The sequence below is a fragment of the Homo sapiens genome, chromosome 13 (assembly GCF_000001405.40).
Source record: "Homo sapiens chromosome 13, GRCh38.p14 Primary Assembly".
NCBI lineage: Eukaryota > Metazoa > Chordata > Mammalia > Primates > Hominidae > Homo > Homo sapiens.
This window is the reverse complement of record NC_000013.11, coordinates 109,752,067-109,776,015: the sequence shown is the minus strand read 5'-3', so window position 1 is coordinate 109,776,015 and position 23,949 is coordinate 109,752,067. Positions and strand designations below refer to the sequence as shown.

The 23,949-nt window shown below is 43.0% G+C and overlaps 1 protein-coding gene across 1 annotated transcript in view; it reads left to right on the top strand.

The window, feature by feature from the left end:
- The window catches only part of IRS2 (insulin receptor substrate 2), a 33,889-nt gene extending 10,568 nt beyond the window's left edge, over positions 1–23,321 (top strand). The window contains exon 2 of the mRNA NM_003749.3: positions 19,708–23,321. Within this exon, the coding sequence (NP_003740.2) occupies positions 19,708–19,712 (5 nt within the window). The 3' untranslated portion in view covers positions 19,713–23,321. The remainder of the gene's footprint in view (positions 1–19,707) is intronic.

Here is a 23,949-nt window from a genome sequence, read left to right as displayed (position 1 = left end):
CACCATGCCCTGCTAATTTTTTGTATTTTTAGTAGAGATGGGATTTCACCGTGTTAGCCAGGCTGGTCTCGATCTCCTGACCCCGTGATCTTCCCGCCTCAGCCTCTCAAAGTGCTGGGATTGCAGGCATAAGCCACTGCGCCCGGCCTAATGCTGGATCTTTTAATATTCATTTTAAAGAGTATCAGGTTTTCCAGCAACAAATATTTGGGGCTGGTGTGTGTGTGTGTGTGTGTGTGTGTGTGTGTGTGTGTGTGTGTGTTTCCATAATATCTCATCCAGTCATGCTCCAGGAGGCTGGATATGATATTTTTCTCCATAACTGAAATTCAAGGATTAATGATGTGTTCTTTGTTCATGTTGAAACTTTATAACTTAAGCATAGTCTACTGCTACTTTATCCCTATACAGTTAGTACAAATACTTGAGTCAGTTATTACGGTGTGGTATGAAATTTCAATTGTTTTCAATGCATAAAAACAGATATTATGATATAGTTCATTATACTATGTGATTTTGTTACTTTACAATCCTATTATACTGTGTGATTTTGTTACCTTAAAATCCTTATGTTTATGTTAAGAATGATTCATTCTTGGATGAGCTTGGTGGCTCATGCCTGTAATCCCAGCGCTTTGGGAGGCCGAGGTGGGTGGATCATCTGAGGTCAGGAGTTCAAGACCAGCCTGGCCAACATGGAGAAACCCCATCTCTACTAAAAATACAAAAATTAGCCAGCCATGGTAGCATGCACCTGTAGTCCCAGCTACTCAGGAGGCTGAGGCAGGAGAATCACTTGAACCAGGGAGGCAGAGGTTGCAGTGAGCTGAGATCGCGACACTGTACTCCAGCCTGAGCAACAAAGAGTGAAATTCAGTCTCAAAAAAAAAAAAAAAAAAAAGAAAGATTTTGCATAGTATTAATGCTTAATCTTTAATATTTAAGAATATGATACAGTGCTTTCTGTATGCATTCTATGGACTTAAATAAGTCAATCTTTGGCCTCCAAAGTATAAGTGTAACAGATAATCCCACAACTTGGTAGACAACTGGCAACTGAAGATTTTGAAAGAATCTTATTGAAGTTGAATGCAATGACGATGTACCATTATTCTGATCAATATTGACGGATAACTGCCTGCCACTCTTCTCTTGGGGTTAAAAGAGTTGTGTAAAATTCAAAGGGTGTTTTTCTTCCCTTTATAGTGGTAAGACATTTTCCTATATACAATATGGTATAATATTCCAAAAAATCCTATGGCATAGGCAGAACCACCATGAACCCCATTCTTTGGAATCAAGAACCTACAGTGTGGAGAGGCCAGATGACTTGCTCCAGATCTCTGAGCCAAAAGGAGAAGGAGTGTCGGGTTCAACCTCATAACATCTTGGTATCCCTAGCCCAGTTCTCTAATGTCATATTGTCTGCTTGGGAAGCTCATATGCAATAATTACATTAGGATTTTATCCTAGACCCTTGCCTCAAGCAACATTTAAGTTAATATTTTGCTGGAGTGATAGTTAATCATCTCCCCCTTTTTCTTCCACTGGGTATCAATTCAAAGGAAAATGGGGACCATTGAGGAGGAAGACTGGTAGGAAAGCGCTCTATTTATTGAAATCAGTTTTTACATCCTCCGGTTTGGAGAGTTTAGTATTTGATACTATTTTCAAGGCTGTGATGTTACTAGTGAATTTTAAAGTTGACCATCAAGTTGGTGATGGATCTGTTCTGGGGACTCCAGTCATGCTTCCTGGACCTCTAGATGTGTCAACAAAGTGGAAAACTTAGATTGCTCTGGCTGTCTTTCATTACCTCTTGGTAAAGCAAACTGTATATGATACTTGGTAAGATACCTCCCCACCACCGCCACCATCAAATACATTAAAACTCTTGCAACTCAGGTGGTGACAATACGAAAAAAATATACAAGGGTGTTCTGAGAAGGAAGAGTTGAGAACCGTTGATAGAATGTAACTTAGTTATTTAAGGTTGTGAAAACAGAGGCTGTGTGAGGTCCGGAGTCTTAGTCAAGGTCACTGATTCAATTAGTGGTAGAGTTGTTTGTAGATATCATCAAGAAAGAGTAGGAGAATGTGATACAAACAATGACACATCTCAGTTGGTTCTTTGTATCTTGATGAATAACTTTCTCCCAGGATACAGCCTATGCTCTTTAGAACAACTTAGTATTTGTGGAAATGATATTAGTCTTTTTACTTTGGAACATTTTAGTAACTTTCTTCATCCATAGACTAAAAGAAACCCTGAAAGCCAGAAATAGAGAATGCAGAATTCCTTAATGAAGAAACGCGTTATAAATCAGAGAAATATGGCTGTTCATGACTATGTGGACGGTGTCTACTGAGTGGGGAGAAGATTTGGCAAATATTTAAGGTCATGTATTTACTTTATCAAAGAAAAGGAAACAAAGTTATTGTTTCATGAAGACCCCCAGTGAAATCGAAAGGCCTAGATTATCTAGCAGAATTGAAGGCGGCTCTGTGTAACAGGTTCAGCCTGGGCGGTGACACAGTGATGAGTCAGCGGGTGCATTCGGTCACTGCTCTCTGTGTCTCTAAGACAGGTGCTTGTTCTATAAGTGAAATATCATATATTCCCCATTATGGATAAGTCCATTAACATTTTTCTAAGAAATGAGTCATTAACCTATTTAATGAGTTTATTTGAAAACTAATCAATTTAGAATTTGCCTAAGGACCAATAACTAACTAATCAGTTGTTGCTAGGTGGTTATCTTCTGGGGAATTGAGTATTTTGTCAGTGCCTTTTTATTTTTAACAGCCCTTGTTTTTTTCTTTTTTTTTAATTCTCAGGAAAAAAATCATTTAGCTGGATTTTTATATGAAGATAAATAGTTTTCATACAAATTTAATTTCACAGAAGCTGCCATTATTCTAATGACGTGGGTATAACCTCACTTTCAAAAGCAGAAAGAAACACTTTAGCAAACACATAAAAATTCTTAAGATATTCACACTTTAAAAAATGTAATAGGCGGCCGGGCGCGGTGGCTCACGCCTGTAATCCCAGCACTTTGGGAGGCCGAGGCGGGTGGATCATGAGGTCAGGAGATCGAGACCATCCTGGCTAACAAGGTGAAACCCCGTCTCTACTAAAAATACAAAAAATTAGCCGGGTGCGGTGGCGGGCGCCTGTAGTCCCAGCTACTCGGGAGGCTGAGGCAGGAGAATGGCGTGAACCCGGGAAGCGGAGCTTGCAGTGAGCCGAGATCGCGCCACTGCAGTCCGCAGTCCGGCCTGGCCGACAGAGCGAGACTCCGTCTCAAAAAAAAAAAAAAAAAATGTAATAGGCAAATCTGTGGCCTGGAACTCTTGTGGGCAGTGCAGTGTTTGCTTTGTGCAAGCTGTCAGGCCTCTCAGCATCAAGAGACAGTACCTCCTTCCTGGCCAGCACCCCCAACGGTGAGCGCCGTGACCCACCAAACAGCAGGTGAGATTGGAGACCTGGCTGGATGAGCAAAGCAGGAAAGCAGTTTTGCTATCCGGGCGAATGGAGTTACGGACCTTCTTCCAGGTTAAGAAGAAAGCCACGTTCGGAGCGCCCTGTGTTGCAGTGATGGGTTTGTTGAGCACCCACCAATTTAGTCAGGAAAACTGATGCAGACGTGTGGTCTGGGGGTCTTCATGAATCGGCCAGAAGCCTTTTCCCCAGCAAGGTTTGGGTGCCTCTGGGAACTTTTGCCTTCTGCAGAGGACCTGGGAAGAGCGTGCACCTACCTGCACCGCTCCGTGCTATGAACCACCGAAAATAGGGACTGAAGTCAGGGACCATCTGACCACGTGAATTCCCGGGTCTGCGGCAGAAGCCGCCCCCGATCCCGTCATCTCAGTGGCCACCCTCACCCATGACTGCCCTGCGCTGCCTGGGCCCAGCGCATGCCGGGTGAGCCTCTCTGCCCTCCTTTCTTTGTTCGGGACTTCCCATACCCAGATGGATGGATAAATAAGGGGAATTGTGAAGCAGGGAGAAAAGTTTTGGAAATAGGCCAGAATTTCTTTACTAAATTTAAAAACCATGCACATAATCCTTTAGAAACTCCACGCAATAAGCAGGATTAAGCAAGTCGTGGATTAGAGTGTATTGAGCAGAGACTGTTTCTGTTTGAAGAGGTCAGAAATGGAGGTACTGGGACCCTAGTTTACTGTGGACATTGCAGGGCTTCTGAACTTCCCAGACAGCAGAAATTCCTGGAAAAGTAGAGTCTTGTGGTCAGTTTCTTACCCCACACCTTTGGTGCATTTTAAAAAAATAAATTACTAAAGTGCTTTGCTTCAGTTTTATTCTGGTATGATAGTAGGTATTCACTTTTTATTGTCTTCCTGCATAAAAGCAACCTAAAATAACGTTTTACATACGCAAATGAAACAGAAAACAAATCCATAAGCTACCCATACCCTCTTCCAGTTCTATATATCAGGTGAGTGTGCTGAGACTTGTACAAATAACTTATGTTGTCAAGTAGACATCTACTAAATGTATAGTTCAACTGAAAGTATATTTGAGTATGCTTTAGCAAAATGTGTTAGTTGCAAAAGTACCAAATCTCTTTTTCTCTTTTAAAGTATTATAAATCCAGGATTGTAAATTTATTTTAATTGCAGTTTCAGAAAACTAACTTTAATTTAGCTGGCTGAGAAAGCAAAAGAGAAAAAAATTAAATATTAATATTGAACTGCATGAAAATACTAGATACAAAGGCTACACAAAACCCTTTTAGATATAAACATCCATGAATTTGCATTCATTGATGCAAAGACATTGTTGAGATTATTTGTTCTGACAAGTTTTTTAAATGAGAATTTCTCCTAAAGGTTTTGTAGCTTCTACATGTAAGGGCATTTTGGTGTTTGGGGACAGATGAAAGTTTCAGTGGTCCAGTAGAAAGGACACACCTTGGTTCAGTTTGCCGTCTTACTGTTATTTGCAGCTTAGCTTATCAGTGTTCCTAGTTCGAGATGAAATAATCACTGCAATGAAATGTCCAAGTTTTCCCAGCAGGGAGCATTTAATGAAGTTCTTAGAACAAGTCTGGGTGATACACATTCATCTGTGTGAGTCTTGATCTGTCCAGGTTCGCTGGGCTGTTTAGAATCACTGGGTCTTCAGCCATTTCCAAAACGCAGAACACAGTTGATATTTTAAGCCAATCAATGTATTGAGAGTTCAGCGTGTGTCAGCACAAGAGTAGATGTCCTGGGAGATGCAGAAGAAATGTGAAGCCTGGCCTCTGTTCCCTAGGTGCCTTCAGAGTCAACTTGGCAGCATCCCACCGGGCACCATTTTCTGGGCAGCCCCTCTGATCCTTTTCATAAGTGTCCACCCCGCAGGCAATCTTGGCTGAGCACAGAGAATGGGATGTTTCACGGGATGTCTCTGCTGCGACAGTGGATATCCTTGCTGGAACATTCACAGTACTGGTCCCATTCACAGCTGGGACCACTCAGATGTTTCACCCCTTCACCCCTGCGTGAACCTGGGGTGCATCAGATGAGGTAGTGTTTGTAAGTTTTCTTCTCTGAAAAATAGTAGCTTTGATTCTGCTGCTATCCCGATTCCTAGATGTCAGCTTGCCCTGAGCTCTTGGCGGCCTTGCCTCCAAGCTCTCCTGGTACTTCATTCTGTGCTCAGTCTTTGTTGTAAATGGTAGTATTCCAGAAACTTCCCCATTGTCAGGTTTCTTGGCTCCTTTTTGTAGGCAGCCCCAAAGGCTGCGTTAAGGGTATTGATCACATTCTTTCTATAGGCATCCCTAGCCTGTTCAGGAAAGCCCCCTCCTTTCCTGCCAGCCACAGCCCCCACCGGCTCAAAGGGCTGCTTGCCGCTCTTGGCCTCCCTGCCCTCCATGGTGGTGGCCAGTGTAGGCGAAAGAAGGAAGTCCCATTGGGTTGGGGAGCTCCAAGTCACCCACCCGTGAGGCTGATGGGGGAGTTAGTCACAGATGAGTCTCCTCCCATTCTCACCTTTTGCCACCTTTTGCAGTTTTCAGAAAAAAAGAAAAATAGGAACTTTACTTATGGGTTGCTTGAGAAAGGTAGAAAGTTGGGGGCAGAAAGGACGATGGCAAAAATGGTGAGATCTCCCTTTAATTTTTAAATGTATTCAAACTGTTAAATTTCTGCATGTTTTCATTACAAAGATGACAATTGTTGCATATAGACTATCTCAAAAATACTTCATCCATTTGAGCAATATGAAAGAATAGGCTAGAGAGAAACAGATTTGGTTTTTCAAGCTAAAAAGAATAACAGAAAGTGGGCGAGTCTTCAGTGAGCTGTCTGCCTTTGAAACCTAGGAAGTAAACTTAATTTGGATGTGCATTTAGGAGATGAAGCACTACAGGTGGTGAAATGCTCTAGCAATGAAGCAGGGAAGGGAGAGGGGGGAAAGGAAATTTGAGCCAAGCAACCTGAAGGTCAGGGGAAGCCGGTCTTACAGATGTTAAGGGAGGAATCCAAGTAGGCAAAGGGGATGAACAGCAGTGCAAAGGCTCTGGGGCAGCAGGTTGCCCGGTATGTTCCAGAACAGGAAGGAGGCCAGTGTGGCTGGCATGGAGAGCTAAGGCTCAAAGGAGAAAGTGAAGAGAAAGAGGTAGTAAGGGACCAGGAGGAATTGAGCCCGGCCAGCCGTGCTACTGATGTTAGCCCACATGTCACAGTGTGTGAGGGAGATAGAGTCCTTGGGAACAATAATATGCAGAGCTTTTAAAAACTTTCATACTGTAGCCATCAATTCCATCATCATGGTGGTGGTATCCCTGGGTGGTGGTGGTTACTTGGTAGAGTATACGTCAACTCGAATTTCTTCCTCAAAAGTATATAAAATTTGAAAAGACCTAGAAGTGATCTAGTGGAATGAAGACGCTGAGGTACCATTGAGGTTGGGGAAACTACTGGGACGTGCTTACAGGATAAACTGCAAAACAAAAGCACAAGTTTGTAATCATGGAATGACATGCCTTATTCTGAAAACTTAACGTTTGTAGCGTACCTTATAATTCATAAGACATTTAAAAATGGTATTGAATCCCAATAACCTATGCGTAGGGTTGGATCTTGTTGTTATCCCTGTTTTTTAATGGAAAATCTGAGGCCTGAAGATGGTAGGCCATGTATATGCCTGCCCCGCCGTTGAGCCTGGCTCCTGCTGTTGGAGAAACTTTCCCAGTCTGTAGAGAGAGGATGTGGTCCTGGCAAGCCTGGCTCCTGCCTGATTCTGTATCTTCTGGTAACACACAGCCGTCATTTAAAAAAAAAAAGACAAGGTCTTTCCCTCTGACAGACTAAAAGCTGAATCCGCTTATTTCGAACTCTGCCTTGAGGCGGGATGCCCCGTGCATTATGGTTAACTAGGACCTGCTAACCATCGGCTTATCAAACAAATCAATTTCACTCTTCAGCTAATTTGGAAATGAAAATTATAGAAGTTAGAAAAAATGTGCAGAAAAAGTATTATTCCAATGTATTATTCCATTTGTTTCATAGAGATCCTGGCTTCACAGGAAAGAGCCAAGGGCATGGGTTTTGCTGAGGGCGTAAGAGCTTGGGGAAGGTGAGGGCTAGGTGTGTACGGGTGCCCTGATGTCCTCTTAGCCTGCTGGTGAGGAAAGTGCATGTTTAATAAATGGGCTCCAGCCAACTGTGTGCAGTTATTTGTAGCCTGCATAATTTTAAAAATGTGGTTGAGCATTTAGGTCTATCTTCAGAATTTAGGCTCCATTTGACTTAGTTTTCCTGAAATATGTAGAAAACTAATGGTGAAAGAGGACCTAATTCTTGAATTATCTGCTTGAACTGTGTTGCTAGTTATTCCAAGTAGAATTTGTAAAATGGTCCATCATTCTCTAAGCAAAATGAGGGAAATAACAATTATTTTCTAGAAATTTCATATATATTGAATATTACAAAATCATGTAACTAGAAATGTTTAAATGGTCACACTGGGCCAGGCACGGTGGCTCACGCCTGTGATCCCAGCACTTTGGGAGACCAAGGCTGGTGGATTACAAGATCAGGAGTTTGAGACCATCCTGGCCAATATGATGAAACCCTATCTCTACTAAAAATAGAAAAATTAGCTAGGTGTGGTGGCGCATGCCTGTAGTCCCAGCTGCTTAGGAGGCTGAGGCAGGAGAATCGCTGGAACCCGTGAAGCGGAGGTTGCAGCGAGCCGAGATTGCACCACTGCGCTCCAGCCTGGGCAACAGAGCGAGACTCCATCTCAAAAAAAAAAAAAAAAAAAAAAGGAAAAATGGTCGAGCTGATTTTCCAGAATGGAATATCACTGCGTGATGCTCTCTGGGAAGAGAAGGCATTAAGTCTGTAACACACAGGACAGAACTACTGTCTATTCTGTACGCATCTGCTTGATCCTCAGTTTTGTCACCTTGGTTACTAACAAGGTGGTTAGAAAGTTACATCTCTCTTGAATCCATTCTTAAAGGCCTTCAAGGACTCAGGCACAGCCTTGGGAAACCAGGAAATGTGACTGTGTCAATCACCACACAGTCCAACTTCCTTTTCGTGTAGGAAATGTTTTCTTTATCATTAATTGATCAGTTCTCCCCTTTCCAAACTTCTGGCAATTTGGGAAATGGAATCTTTATGTTGCTGGGTATTTTCTCCTTCCACACCTCCTTCTCCTTGCTGGACAGGAGGGGAGGGCAGAAGACGTGTTTGTGGCCACATTCCCGGTGTGGCCCGCCTGGACAGGAGCCAGGGTGCACACTGACCTGCACAGCCTCTGGCCTCTGTCCCTGGGCCTGAGAGGCAGGAGCAAGGGGCCTGTCCTCACTCTGAATCCAACTGCTGGTGACTCAGGGCACCCTGCTGGACCCTCCAGGAGAAGTTGGGGCCCACGTTTCTAGGCTGCCCACTCATCCAAACCTCCCTCCATGTCCCTGACCAAAGCATTTCGCAGATCTGGGTCCTCTGGTGTGTGAGGCTCCTCCCAGCCCATGAGCATTGGAAAATGTCTACAAGATCTTTGCCATTTTAGGTTCTACCGAGGCTAAAGAATGTATGTTTCCTCTGCTTAGACTTAAGTTTTTGAGTAACTTTATAGACACTTTGGCATTTTGGCTGAAAGGGCATGTGCAGTAACTGAATATGACTTGTGCACTGTTTCAGTGCCAGTGGGTCACATGCAGGGGAGTCAGAGCCAAGGTGGATGAGGCTGGGATATCTACATGCTTGGTGGGGAGTTGGAGTCAGGGTGGATGAGGCTGGGATATCTACATGCTTGGTGGGGAGTCGGAGCCAGGGTGGATGAGGCTGGGATATCTACATGTTTGGTGGGGAGTTGGAGTCAGGGTGGATGAGGCTGGGATATCTACATGCTTGGTGGGGAGTCGGAGCCAGGGTGGATGAGGCTGGGATATCTACATGCTTGGTGGGGAGTTGGAGCCAAGGTGGATGAGGCTGGGATATCTACATGCTTGGTGGGGAGTCGGAGTCAGGGTGGATGAGGCTGGGATATCTACATGCTTGGTGGGGAGTCGGAGCCAGGGTGGATGAGGCTGGGATATCTACATGCTTGGTGGGGAGTCGGAGTCAGGGTGGTTGAGGCTGGGATATCTACATGCTTGGTGGGGAGTCGGAGTCAGGGTGGTTGAGGCTGGGATATCTACATGCTTGGTGGGGAGTTGGAGTCAGGGTGGATGAGGCTGGGATATCTACATGCTTGGTGGGGAGTCGGAGCCAGGGTGGATGAGGCTGGGATATCTACATGTTTGGTGGGGAGTTGGAGTCAGGGTGGATGAGGCTGGGATATCTACATGCTTGGTGGGGAGTCGGAGTCAGGGTGGTTGAGGCTGGGATATCTACATGCTTGGTGGGGAGTCGGAGCCAAGGTGGATGAGGCTGGGATATCTACATGCTTGGTGGGGAGTTGGAGTCAGGGTGGATGAGGCTGGGATATCTACATGCTTGGTGGGGAGTCGGAGCCAGGGTGGATGAGGCTGGGATATCTACATGCTTGGTGGGGAGTCGGAGCCAGGGTGGATGAGGCTGGGATATCTACATGCTTGGTGGGGAGGAGGAGCCAAGGTGGATGAGGCTGGGATATCTACATGCTTGGTGGGGAGTTGGAGCCAAGGTGGATGAGGCTGGGATATCTACATGCTTGGTGGGGAGTTGGAGTCAGGGTGGATGAGGCTGGGATATCTACATGCTTGGTGGGGAGTCGGAGTCAGGGTGGTTGAGGCTGGGATATCTACATGCTTGGTGGGGAGGAGGAGCCAAAGTGGATGAGGCTGGGATATCTACATGCTTGGTGGGGAGTTGGAGCCAAGGTGGAGGAGGCTGGGATATCTACATGCTTGGTGGGGAGTTGGAGTCAGGGTGGATGAGGCTGGGATATCTACATGCTTGGTGGGGAGTTGGATCCAAGGTGGATGAGGCTGGGATATCTACATGCTTGGTGGGGAGTTGGAGTCAGGGTGGTTGAGGCTGGGATATCTACATGCTTGGTGGGGAGTTGGAGTCAGGGTGGATGAGGCTGGGATATCTACATGCTTGGTGGGGAGTTGGAGTCAGGGTGGTTGAGGCTGGGATATCTACATGCTTGTTGGGGAAGAGGAGCCAAAGATGTGGATTTCCTCTGTCTCCACATCCTTGGGCAAGGACTGGTGATCAGCTGCTGCTGTCTTATTTTATTTGCTTCTCCAGTAAATGAACTTTATATAGTTGGTAGCTTGGCGTTTTCCATTTTGCATTACTGAAATTTCAATAAATAGTGCTTTAGTTAGATGTAAATCTCTGTCATTTGTGGCAGAGGAACTTAAATGTCGGCCTGCATTTTAGGGCACCTTTTTGTATAGAGCAGAGAGAAGGGAAGTGCTGTCCCCCAGTGGCCTGGACCAGGCGGAGCCCAGCCTGTTGATGATGCATTGTGTGTGCTTGGCATGTGTGACGTGGCAAGGGATTCATGTTCTCTGTGGGCAGCTGCCTGAGTAGTAGACATGTGAGGCCCCTTCCCGGGCATTTTGTCCTGTCCTCAGGACATGAAGAAAGCAGCTAGGCAAAGGCACTCTTTGCAGCTTTAAATGGCCTAGAGTTACCCCCAGAAAAACAATTCTACTTCTGTTCCACTTCTGTCCAATTAAAACAAGTTTGTTCATTTTATTTTAGGAGCAATTTGCCATTGTTTTTGTGCATTCGGCAGTTGTTTATTTGCTGCTTGCAGTTGTGGTTGTTCGTGGTATCATTCACGAATACAATTTTGAACGAGGAAGAGCTGTGATGACAAATGCACTAAGAGACACCACTGTGGCTCTCCACAAATTAGCCAGAACATAAGGGTGGGAGGAGCCTGTCTTTCCCTGGCAGCACAGGGCTGCCTGGTCTTAAGAAGTCTGTAGTTGAGAACACAGCATGTGGTTACATGTATACATTATTTGAAGGTGCACAAAGCAAAGGGAAGCCAACCACAAAATGCCAGTTGTGCTAGTAGCATGTGCTTCTTTATGAATGAAAGAACATACGCATTTTTGGTATTAATTATTTATATATTTTATACATGAAATCTCATTTGACAGGTTCCCTGTGACTCCACTGGGGAATTCAGGGTGGGAGAGGTAGTGCCCCCATCTTCATAAGAGGGAGCAGACTTAGAGACATAGCTGTAGAGATTACACAGCTGGTAAGAAGTGGTTCCTAGATGCTAGCCCTGGGGACCCGGCTCTGGTGTGGCGACAGCGCCTTTCACACCTGTATCCTGAGAGTCGTGGGAATGGCATGTAGTTTAAAGTACAGAGATGGGGGCATGGAGTCATTCCTAGGCTCCCAGGGAAGAGCAGGATGTTTTTGATATGGCCGATTAGGAAGAATGGGCACTTTGATCTCTGCAAAGAGAGCCTGCGCTTCAGTGACTAAGTAGGATTTGACCCTTCAACCTTGACTCTAGTAGATGGCTCAGTTAAAGGCTACGTGGTGATTCTTAGGAGGCTTTTAAATTAGATAGATGGATTTGTCCCTGGAGAGACAAAGCTGAAATCCTATATCACATAGATGTTATAGACCGAGGAGGGGGGATTTACCTACAGTTATTTAAGCTTTTAAAGTAGAAAAAAGGTCCAGTTGAAATGATATATAACAACAGGCTATCTGGAGATGGATATATTGTGAATAAATAATTATTCTACATTCTCTTAATTTGGCAGCAAAAATATAATTAGGTTTTATAATTTCTGATATAAACAATATAAACATTGTTATGGTGTACATAAAATTTTTTTAGATTAGTAAGAAAACCATACGTATAAACATGTGTTAAGTCTGAGGAAAGAATTACGTCGTTCATTGGCTATTTGCGATTTTAATGCACCTTATATCACTTGGCCCAAATACTCTTAGGGCAGAAGCATAATGCTTACATTCACATTCTCAAATGACCCAAGAAAGAGAAAAGATTTGGACCCTTAATGAGTTGTAGATCTCATATATAAACCTTTACTTCTGTTAAAGGAAGAATGCTAGTGTAGGATGTATTTAGCAATGATTAGATTTATTGAGCACTTTTGTGTTATGCATGAAAAATCAAATAGAATAGCGGTAGCTAAGAGAAATTCATTCCAAAAGTGTGCTGGCTTCATAAATGATTTTGTGATGTGTGTCCTCTTTTTCAGTAGGGTCTGTAACAGGATAGTGTGGTTTTTAGTAGATAGTATTGCATTTCTAAAGTACGTAAGCTTGCAGATAATTTTCAAAGGGATATCAATTAGTTTCCCAGTATAACACACAGATGGAAATATATGGTGTTTTTCTGACAAATTTGCCTGTTTTTCTTCGCATTGTCTTCCTTAGTAAAGGTTGCCATGTTCATGTGCTCCTTGAAGGATTAACAAACATTCTGTGAAAGGTCAGGTAGTAAAGAGTTTAGGTTCATTGCCATGCAGTCTCTGTCACAGCTGCTCCACTCTGCTTATGGTGTGAAAGCAGCCATATGTAAATGCGTGAGCACGGCTGTGCCCAAATAAAACTTTATTTGCAGAGACAGGCAAGCCAGATCTGGCCTTACTTTACTGACCTCTGCTTGGAACGTCACTCTCCAAGTGGGCTGGAAAGGGTTTTCTTTTCTTCTGGGTCTCACGCAGTCCTAAAGCTTCGTTCTGTTTTAGAAAACTTTGTTCTCTTTTAGAAAACTTTATTGAGCATTTCTGCCTGTGAGAAATGGCATGAACCACATGGGGTTTTCGCTTCAATTTAATACCTATAAGCTTTACTAAGGACCTGACCAGCAGGCTGCTGGCTGCTGGGGACAGGGAGGTGAGAAGGCAGGGCCTGGGCATCAGCTGGCAAGGAAGACCAACCATGGAGCACACCCTCATCGACTCACAGGCTTCACTGAATCTTGTGACATGCTAGCATGCTGTTTAATGTCCTTCGAGGAGAGTTTTATAAAGAGCTAGTGGTTCACTGTGGAAGTTGACACTCTGGGGCCCCAGGTGACAGTTGCAGGTGTCTCTGCTCCTGCCCTGTCCCACCCATCTCATTGTCACCAAAGGGGAGCAGAGAGGAAAGTGTTCTGGGAGAAGTTGAGGACCCTGTTCTTCCACAGACTGGCAGGGAGGCTTCAGCAAGTTGTTCGTGCTTCCTGGTCTGGGTTTTAACTAAAAAGGGTCTAACATTTCATAATTTAAAAGAAAGGGTCCACCCGCAATTCTTGGAACTTTTTGTATCTCAGGTGTTTGTGCAGAAGAATCATCGATACTGTTTCTCCTATGGCATTGGCGGCTGCTGCAGGGGCAGTGGGCAATTCTTGCCATAGACGAATAGCTCACTTCATGCACATGGCAGGGTTTTTAACAATAACACTCAGAAAAGAACCGTGTACATTCTGTGTTACACAATCTGCTGTAGCCGTGCACTGTAAAATTTATACAGGCTCCTGTATAGGAAAGTTGAATGTGTAGAGGGAATTGGAAGTGCAGTAGGTAAAAGTTTAGGAGGCCTGATTTTCCTAGTTTTGGATGATTAAGACCAGGTCTTATGTGCAGGATTAAACAGGAGTTAAAGGGGGAGATACCTTTTACTAAATCCAGCCTGTGAGACAACTAGATTGTCTCATCCTATTTTGTATTGTGTCATTAACATCAAGTTGCAACTTGATATTCGGAATTTTTTTTACTAACAAGCATTCAAAATGAAATGATTTTAATTGTCAGTGGAAGTGATGAGCTCATAGAAAAGAATGTTTTCAGTCTTTCTCAAGGAGGGCAGCAGGAAAGCAAGTTATTGCCCCTGTTTGTCATGGGGAACTTATTCTTCCATATTTTCCTTTTAAGTTAGTTTTTTTTCCAATTTAAAAGAAAAGTTCAAGTAACCGTTTTTCCTAGAATCTCTGGCTTTTGTTATCATACCCAACCTTACCTTTTTTTTTTTTTCATGTTCTTAGAGTGTCTTGCTTTAGTAAAGTCTGGAGATACTAAATTATCGGGTTTATTTTTCTCAGAATTGCTCCTGCAACTGAAAAGTCAATTTTCCCTTGTAATTCTGTGTTTAACATAAAAGGCTGAAACTGGGCACTGAGATGTACCTGTACGATATGTTTGAGCTCATGGAAGGTTTCCTTGCTTTCGGAATCACATTTGCTACTAGAAATACAAATTTTAATTTTAAGAAGTGTATCGTTTCATTTTGTCAAGTACATCAGTATTTGTAACACTCCTAATTCAGCTATGGCTGAAAATGTGAAAGCATCTTTACCTACTCCATGAATTTGGCCTCTGGGTGGTCCAGTGTTGCTCACCAAAGGCCTGTGAGGCCCCATGTCCCACAGCCGTGCCATGGGGCCCTACGTGGTGGCCGTAAGCCCCTCTGCAGAGAGGACCGGGGCCTCCCTGGGCAGAGCTGCCACGACCCAGGTGTATATCCTGGATTTTGAACATCGAAATGTAACATTGGAGGCAAACATGTCCAAACCCAAATTGTCAGGAGAAATTATGAAGAAAAAGGATTGGTGAGTCAGACTGTGTGCCGAAAATGCTGCCTGATTTTATTGGCTGGAGCAAATTGACCTTATTTCCAACATGTTCTAGGCTTGATGCCCACTTCAGTTTTCTGTAATGTGATTGCAGTCATGGTGCCCAGCTCCGTGTGACATGTCATTGTTGGGACATTGTTCCATATATTACAAGGAAGCTTTCCTCCTTGTCTTAATCACAATGTTTTCTAGTGATTTGTTTTCTTTCCTCCTTTCTCTCTTTCGGGGGAGTCAAGTTGAGCAGTTTGAAGGTGGAGCTTTTACTGACAGCTCTCTCCTTCATTTGCATTCTGATTGCTCTTGTAAGTGGAGGAGAAAAGGGGAGGAATTATTGCCCATCTGCAGGGCATTATGGTGAGTGGCACAGGGGACTGTATCCCACGTATGAATGTCATCTGTCACAAGCGACAGCAGAAAGGAGATGCGGAGTGGATACACTGCACGACATGTCACATGGAACAACTCTCATCTCTGCTAAAAGTGTTTTTGTTTGTTGGTTTTATTTGCTCAAATAACTCTACGTGGATACGTCTGTGGATGGATTTCCTCACAAAGCAACGTCTAAGGGACAGAGTAGTACAGTGTGTAATGAGCGATGTGACAAATTCAATGAGTATCAGTAAGTTTACATTTTTTATATAGATTACCTGTAGCAGCAGAACTGGTGTGTGGTGTTCTGTCATTGTGTTCATGAGCAACACGTGAGTCTTATTGTTTTCTTTTTGGTTTTGCCATTACAGCTGATGAATTCAGAAAATCTCTTCCTTCTTAGTGAATATTCAGGGTAGAACAGCCATAAAATTAATAATTCTTTGCTTCTACTAAAATGAACACAGATAATACAACAAATAAATTTTTGCTGGAATCTCATCTTCAGGAAGCCTGAAGTTTGATCATATTTAAAGGTTGAGGATGTCAGATGATTAGTGTTAGAAAATTGTTGGTGTGTTTTTTTCCCCTGGTCAGGATGAACCAGGCTGATTTTCAGGGTGAGGGATAACTTCAGTTACTTTGAAAGTAAATGAATATAAAGGCAAAAGTTTACTCTCATTCCTAGGTTTGAATCTCTGGAGTGTTTTCCAGCTTTCTTCTTCCTGGGGTAGGGGAGTGTCACTGATGAGTGGGTGGCTGTCAGGTGGGTGGTAGGTATCGTGTTGCCGTGGTGGTTTCAACCAGGGGCACCAGCTCTTGGTGTTTGGTGTCTGAAAGCTGTGTGTGAACTACAGAGAGCCCTCCTGAGCCCTTGCACGTGTTAATCATTTAGCCCTATGCCTGGGGCCTTTAATAGTATGTGTGGCAAAGATTCTACCACCAGCTCAATTGGAAAAAGGTATTTGAGACATCAGTTCAGGCAGATGGCTTCTGTCTTAGACCTTCTTTCTCTAACAAATGAATAAAAATGATACTTAGGGTTTCAAAACAGATCCCTTTTTTCCACCATAAATTCTTAGTACTGATGCTTCTTAGGTCTCTGTTGTATCCCAATCCCTCTGCTGCGGCTGGCAGGTCCTAGTCATCTGGGTCCAATCTGAGGTGTGCTCCAGCCTTTTCCTCGCTGCCCTTTTGCACCTCCGCAAAGGATTGTTTCTGCTGGTTAATTCTGTTTAAATCACCGCGAGCGCTTCCAAGCATCCCAAAGGGTCACCTGGAATCAGCCTCAGCCTCCTGGGGTGGGGGGATGTCTAAGCAAGCAGGTCTGTGAGAGGCAGGGCACTGGGGAGCAAAACCACAGGCCTGTGCCCGCTGAGCACACCCAGACCACAGTTCTCGCTTTACCGTGAAAGGAGGCGGCCGTTGAAAGCGGTTGTATTAACCTAACAGGAGACAGGCTAGGTGAGACACATGCACGTTGTGCTTGCTCTGGTGCACGTGTGTGCATGTAGATGTGTGTGAAACGCTGCACAGCTGACACCCCCATGCCTGGCTCTGAGCGGGTGGTCATCCTGTTTCTGGTCTCCCTCACCTCAGCTCTCTTGTGTCCTTTGAGTGTGCCATTAACAGGTTCATCTTCCTGTAATAACCCTTCCTTCCTCCCTTCTCCTTCCCTTTCCCCTTCCTCCCTCCTTCTTTTTTTTTCTTTCCTTCCCCTTCCTCTTCCCCTTCCTCTTCCTCTTCCGCTTGCCCTTCCTTTTCCCCTTTCCTTCTTTTTTTTTTTTTTTTTGTCAGCCATCTTCCCCCAAGTTATCAGTGAGGCCTTGCACCAGAGTAGAATTAAAAAAAGAAAATTGTTGAAAGGTCATTGCATGAATAAATGCATGGATGAATTACTTCCTTGCCATTTATCAGCTCTTTTCTTGCATAATGCTAATGCTTAGAAATTAACGTTTTGATAACTGTATTCTACTTCCAAAAAATAAAATTACATGTTCAACTTAATTGGAGCTCGCAAAGATGTAATGATAAGAGTTGAATATTACAGCGATACAGCATCCTAAAAAAAACAATGAAAATGTCAGTGGCCTCATGAAATCACAAATGAAAATGGAAAGTAATTTTTTTCAGCAATAATTTACCCGCCATTTATATGACAAAGTGCTTAAGTTTGAGAAACTGAAGAACTTACTAGTTTAGCTGTTTTCAAAATAACAGACTTAGAGTTAACATGAGATAATTCAGCCACATTTAGCTAATTGTTAGTGTCAAAATAAAATAAGCAATTGATTAGAAATTCTTCTGTCAATGGATTTGCAGAGTCTCAGTTACCTGCTTGTGGTGGCCATGGGATTCTTCCCAAATCAGGGTCTCAGGGACAAAATGCAAGCTCATTTTAGGGTGAATTACAAGTCTCAAGGTGTGTTTTAGCAAATGCCTGTTTTTTTTTAGGGGATACAAACAATTAGATTCTCACTGAAGTCTCCTGGGATTGAAAATCACAACAATAATGAATCAGATAACTCAAAGACAGATCTTTCCTTAGGAAGAAATTAATTCTGTTAAGGTTCATTGGCAGAACATTGTTTACTTATTAAATTTATAATGGACATAAAGCTTTTTAAAAATAACAAGATAGGCCGGCCGCAGTGGCCCACGCCTGTAATCCCAGCACTTTGGGAGGCCTAAGTGGGTGGATCACCTGAGGTCAGGAGTTCAAGACTAGCCTGGCCAGCATGGTGAAACCCCGTCTCTACTAAAAATACAAAAATTAGCCAGGCATGGTGGCACGTACCTGTAATCCCAGCTACTTGGGAGGCTGAGACACGAGAATTGCTCAAACCTGGGAGGTGAAGGTTGCAGTGAACCAAGATCATGCCACTGCACTCCAGCCTGGGTGACAGAATAAGACTCCATCTTAAAAAAGACTAATAATAATAATAAATAAAATAGATAAAACAGCCTCAGAATGTCGCGTTGTAGGGAATTTTAAAATGTCCACTTTGTATATTGACAAGTATTTTTTCTGTAAAGCTTTTGGGGTTTTTGGGGGGCTATAGCATGTAGTGCCTCGAGTTCATAAGGAGATGTGGTTTTGAGGGACTCACTCTCAGCTTCAGGGCACACTGGAAGTTTCTGTCTTGTTGAGTTCAGTCCTCTAAACTTAAGATGGAGAGAAAAGAATTTGGTTCACAAAAAAGTAAGTCAGGGAGTATGATAAGAGGCTAGGATCAGAATTCTAAAGGATTTTAGAAGAGTGTCCAGAAATGCAGTTGGTATAAATGCATCTGCAAAGGAAGGAAATGTACCTGTTTGAGAGCAAAGCGGTGCTCACCCTCATGTTGCTGAGTGATGAAAATGAACAGTATGTCATTTTGGTTAAAAAGCCAAGAAGCTTAGAAAGAAGAAAACAGCACGCTGTGAAAGGTCAAAATCTTCCAATTTGTTCTGTCCCTTGAAGAAGGAATATATCAAGTAAAAATAGGCCTAAAACACTGGAAATTGAGAAAGGTTAAAGAATTTTGATCCTTCATCCTGGAAGGGAGGAAGCAATTAGATCTGGCCACGTGTCCTCAGTCCCTGTCCCCTCTGAGCACAGCGAAAGGGTAAATTACTTAAACTGGAACATATGAAAGTTTGAGTGGATAAAAATAACCCTTTCCTAATGTTGAGGGTTATGCAACAACACATGAGGCCGTGCAGGAACCTTCCATTGCTGGGCACGTTCAAAAAGAGGTAGATGATCCGGTTGGAAGTTTTCTGAGGGCAGAAGTGTGGAGTTATTAGTTACTCCACTTTCATAACATAATGCACATTTGTAGAATAAACATAGTTTACAGAGCATTGTAATGTGTGTCATAGTTTTTCATCTCTGCAGCCCTGGGAGGAAGGCAAGTGGATTCTGTGTATCCCACACAACACAGGAAGCATCAAGGCCTAAGGAGTTACAGGGGTCATTCCATCACACAGACACGCAGTGCAACCTAGGAACTGGCCCTTCTTTTTCTATCTTGTTCGACAGAATGATTCACAAAAACACATGCGAATATTTTTCTTAAATTGAAAATACGAACCTAACTGTCTAGACAACTCACCATGAACCTAACAGCTCTGCTTCCAGGAAAACTCAGAGTTTTCCCACTGAACTCACCTCTGGAAAACAGAATGAATACATGTTTCTTTCTCAAAGGTCATCAGTTTATGAAAATGACCCAGGTCCTAGCTGTGGGTTAGAGGGGCCCTTTCTGGAACTCCAGAGATTGCTCTGTTCTCCTGAGGGTCTCTGCTAACTTCCCTCCTTTCTTTTTCAGAGTGAAGATCTGTCTGGCTTTATCACCAGGATGTCACATGTCAGAGAGTATCATTAAAAGAAGACGCTCAGCACTGTTTCAGCCCGAAGCTGCTTGCAGTTTTCTTTTGGATCTGAGCAATGACTGTGTTTGGAAACATCTGTGGACTCTGTTAGATGAGGCACCAACAAGGCAAGGTCACCTGCCTCTTTCCCTTGTTCCCGGATGGGGCATTCATCATTGTGCTGTTTGCGTTTTGTTTTGTTTTGTTTTAACAAAATTAGCTGAAGAAGTTATTCTCAAGAAAATTGGATGTTTTCATTGGCCTTCTTAAATTGTGGCCAGTGTCTTTTAATTTCTTCTTCTTTTCCTTTTGGCAAAGCAGATATAACCCTCAGCATGCTAGGAGAGTGCACCCGTACCTATGGAAGTGGTAAAATCTGGTATTTACTGGCTTACACTCAAAACGACCACAGTCCTACCTCAGTTCAAGGTAAAGCCGGATTTCCGTGGCGGGGGTCCCACAGGACCTCCTGTAGTAGCCCCTGCGCTGTGTGTCTGGAGCGCGGTCCTCGGCCTTATTGAAATGGTCCAAGTAGACAGCTGCTTGTTGGATTCCAGTGCAGGTACCTGCGATGTTTACGTCCACACCGAGCCCAGTGTGGGACTGACATTTCTCAATGGAAGTGAAATTTGGGATTGGACTTTGAAGACGGATTACTAAATAATAATTATTATATGTAACTGAAGCAACCTACTTTTGAAAATCAACTGTATTGGGTAGTGGGAGGTGGGAGGGAAGGGCTTTGGGAAGGGGATGAATATCTCTTTTTACCTTTAACAGACTTGTTTAATCTTCTCGATGTAGATGTTTATGTAGGTACTTCACATTGCAAACGCCTTTTATTCTATTTACAAGCTCAGATGTCTCTGCTCTCCTGAATCTTGGGCATGCCTTTCTGTAACCAAAAATCCCTGTAGGCGTGCTAGCAATTCCAGGGTGGTCCGGGTTTGGCAGATTTGATTTTTAAAAAACGTATTATCTTTAATAAAATGTTATTATGTCAACCAGTGAGGCTGCCCTGAACAAAAAAAACAAAAAGAAAAAAAAAAAAGGAAAGAAAGAAACTGATAAAAAGAGGCATTCCAGCCCCTATGTTATTGATGGAAAAAGAAAAAGAAGAAAAGCAATCTCGCAGTACATGTTACTTGTCGAAAAAATTCCGGACAAGACTACCCTTGTTTTATGTTTTCAGTATTCTGAAAATACCAGTGTGTGGCAGTTCTCGCAGATGTTACCTAAAACTGCTGAACTTGACCGGCAGAATGTTCTGCCGTTTTCTGCTCCCTCGACACTTGATTGGAGGGCTGTCGACCTCTCCTCCCGTGGGGGCTTCCCCAGTGCCTATCTTCTCTGATAGTCATGGAGAGGTTACACTAATTCATTGGAGATGTAAGTTGTTGGTTTTGTTTTGTTTTGTTTTTAGAAAAATATATATAAATATATAATAGATATCTATCGCTATAGAATAATGCATTAATAAAATGAGGCTTTTTTAGAGGAAGACCAAAAAATTCAATGTCTTAAAAATATATTTAATGGCAATGCAAAAGTCTTCCTGCTTCCGTGCTGAACTTTAGAACAGAGGATTGTATTGCAAGACAAAGTTGAATGTAAAGTGATCTCCCTGAACATTTTTAAGGTTTTACTTTTCTGAAATTATACATCACAGCAGTGCATAGGCCATATAATGTTAGCTGGAAGGTCAATTTCAGTGTATGATATACTTTATTAAGATGTATAAAAATCCTGAAGTTTTTATTTAGTTTTGGGAATAGGCATCAATGGGTGGTATTTGCTTTGTAACTCCCCCCAGGTACGATAGGGACTGAATATGGACCCTGCTGAAAGCAGTGTATTGACGCATATTTAACTCGCCCTCTATCCGTAGAGTAGTCATGACACTATACAGATGGTTCGTGTTCATACTGCAGCTTAAAACAAGCAAAATACACAGATGATAATATGCTAAATTTTCCTCTATCCTGTACATTTCACAAAAAGGCATATGCAATATTTACATTTTTAATTTAGTTTACAGAATGGAACCAAAATGTATAAATGTTATGTTTGCTAAAACTTCACAATGTATATTGGGTCTTTGTACATTTTGCCTGACTTACCTTAAATTTAAAATATTTTTTGCTATATAAACTTTAACAGTTATTAAACAGTGTTTTCTTTTTGGGTACGTATTGTTTCTGGATATCAAGATGTTAAATATATTTCTTGCTATTGTGATATGACAAGAGACTTAACTTATCTTGCTCTGTCTTCCACTGTACACGCTGTATATAGGGGTCAATGTGATGCTGCTGGAGACGAGAATAAACTGGACTAGAATAGTGCATTGTATTTAGTCTGTATTGATCATGGATGCCCTCCTTAATAGCCATATGCAATAAAATAAAGTACATTATTTATGAAATGAATACAGTCCTGAAGATTTTTTCTGTACGAATTCTCTGTTTAACATAAAGCCAATCTACTTTTAGAGTTTGGGAGTAAGTGAGGAAATACTAGGCTCCTAAAAATACTTGGATACCCCTTTTAATTTTAAAACTTTTATTCTGGAAGCCAAAAAATACCTGCCAGATAACAACATTTATGAAAAGTAAATGTGTTATATAACAAAACAGAACATTCGATGTACTCTACAAAACAGAGTCCTTATGACGTGCTGGATGCCATTCTAAATACATAACAAATATTAACTTCTTGATAGCTCATGACAATCTTAGGAGGTAAGAATTGTCATCCTCATTCTACAGAGGAGGAGCCCGAGGTACAAAAATGCTAAGAGACTTGTGTGAGAGCACACAGTCCATGAGTGGTAAAACCAGGACCGCTCCCCAGCTCTGCAGTCCAGAATCTGCTTATGCACCTCTGCTTAGTGCTCCCTTCCTGATGTGCACACAGAAGATACACCAACGTGTACATCAAGAATGCTCCCTCCATGACATGCACACAGAAGATGTACCAATGCATACATTAAGAATGCTTCCTCCGGCCGGGCGTGGTGGCTCACACCTGTAATCCCAGCACTTTGGGAGGCTGAGGCAGGCAGATCACCTGAGGTCAGGAGTTCGAGACAAGCCTGACCAACATGGAGAAACCCCGTCTCTACTAAAAATACAAAATTAGCCAGGCGTGGTGGCGCATGCCTGTAATCCCAGCTACTCGGGAGGCTGAGGCAGGAGAATGGCTTGAACCCGGGAGGCAGAGGTTGCCGTGAGCCAAGATAATGCCATTGCACTCCAGCCTGGGCAACAAGAGCGAAACTCCGTCTCAAAAAAAAAAAAAAAAAAGAAGAAGAATGCTGCCTCCATGACACAAACACAGAAGAAGACATACCGATGCATACATCAAGAATACAAAGAAGAAAATCATCAGATCCAGGAAAATGCAATTCAGGAAGCAGAAAATAGAAAATTGATGCTGTGAATTTTTATCCAGGAGAGTTTTACCTCCTTGCTTGAAACATTTGTCCGTGCATCCACTTTGCCCTAAAATGATAGTCATGTAATAATGTGTGTGTTATCTTTTGAACAAATAAAATCAGTGCAATTTGGAAGGTGATTTTTAAATTACGGTTGTTAAGTCAGCAAGATGGACTCACACTGTGGTGTGGAAACCTGTGATGGGATAGCCACAGGCTGCATCCCCTGTTTGTGCCTGGATGGTTTGTTCTGGGGGAGCCTGTTAGTCACACAGAGTAAGAGGCCTGATCTGCAAGTCTTGATATACCTGAAATCTGATAACCATTTCAACAATGAAAGGGCAAATGATGCAGTCATTCCACAGGCCTCATCTAAGGCAGGAACGGACAAGTGATTTATCTGAAAGAGCCATTGTGGAGAAAGTACAGCAAAATGGAGTTGTTTCAAAGGTCCACAGATTCTGGAAATACCACTCAAAACCAATGCAGGGCCTTTTCCAGAATGTTAAGTGTTATATGACAAGATGAGAAGACTGCAGGCTGCAATAATTTTGGAAGAATTTGGTTCTAACCCACTGATGGCCTCGACAGGCAGCTTGCAAGAGGCACCTTAGCTCATGGTACTGTCATGATATTTGAGTCCCATCCTTGAGCTGATCTGCAGCTCGTCCTTCCTCAAACCTTCCTTAAGCATTGCTTCACAGATTAGATGGGTTGCTCATTAGTGCATATCACTGTGAGTTGACCAGGGGTAATAGCATTT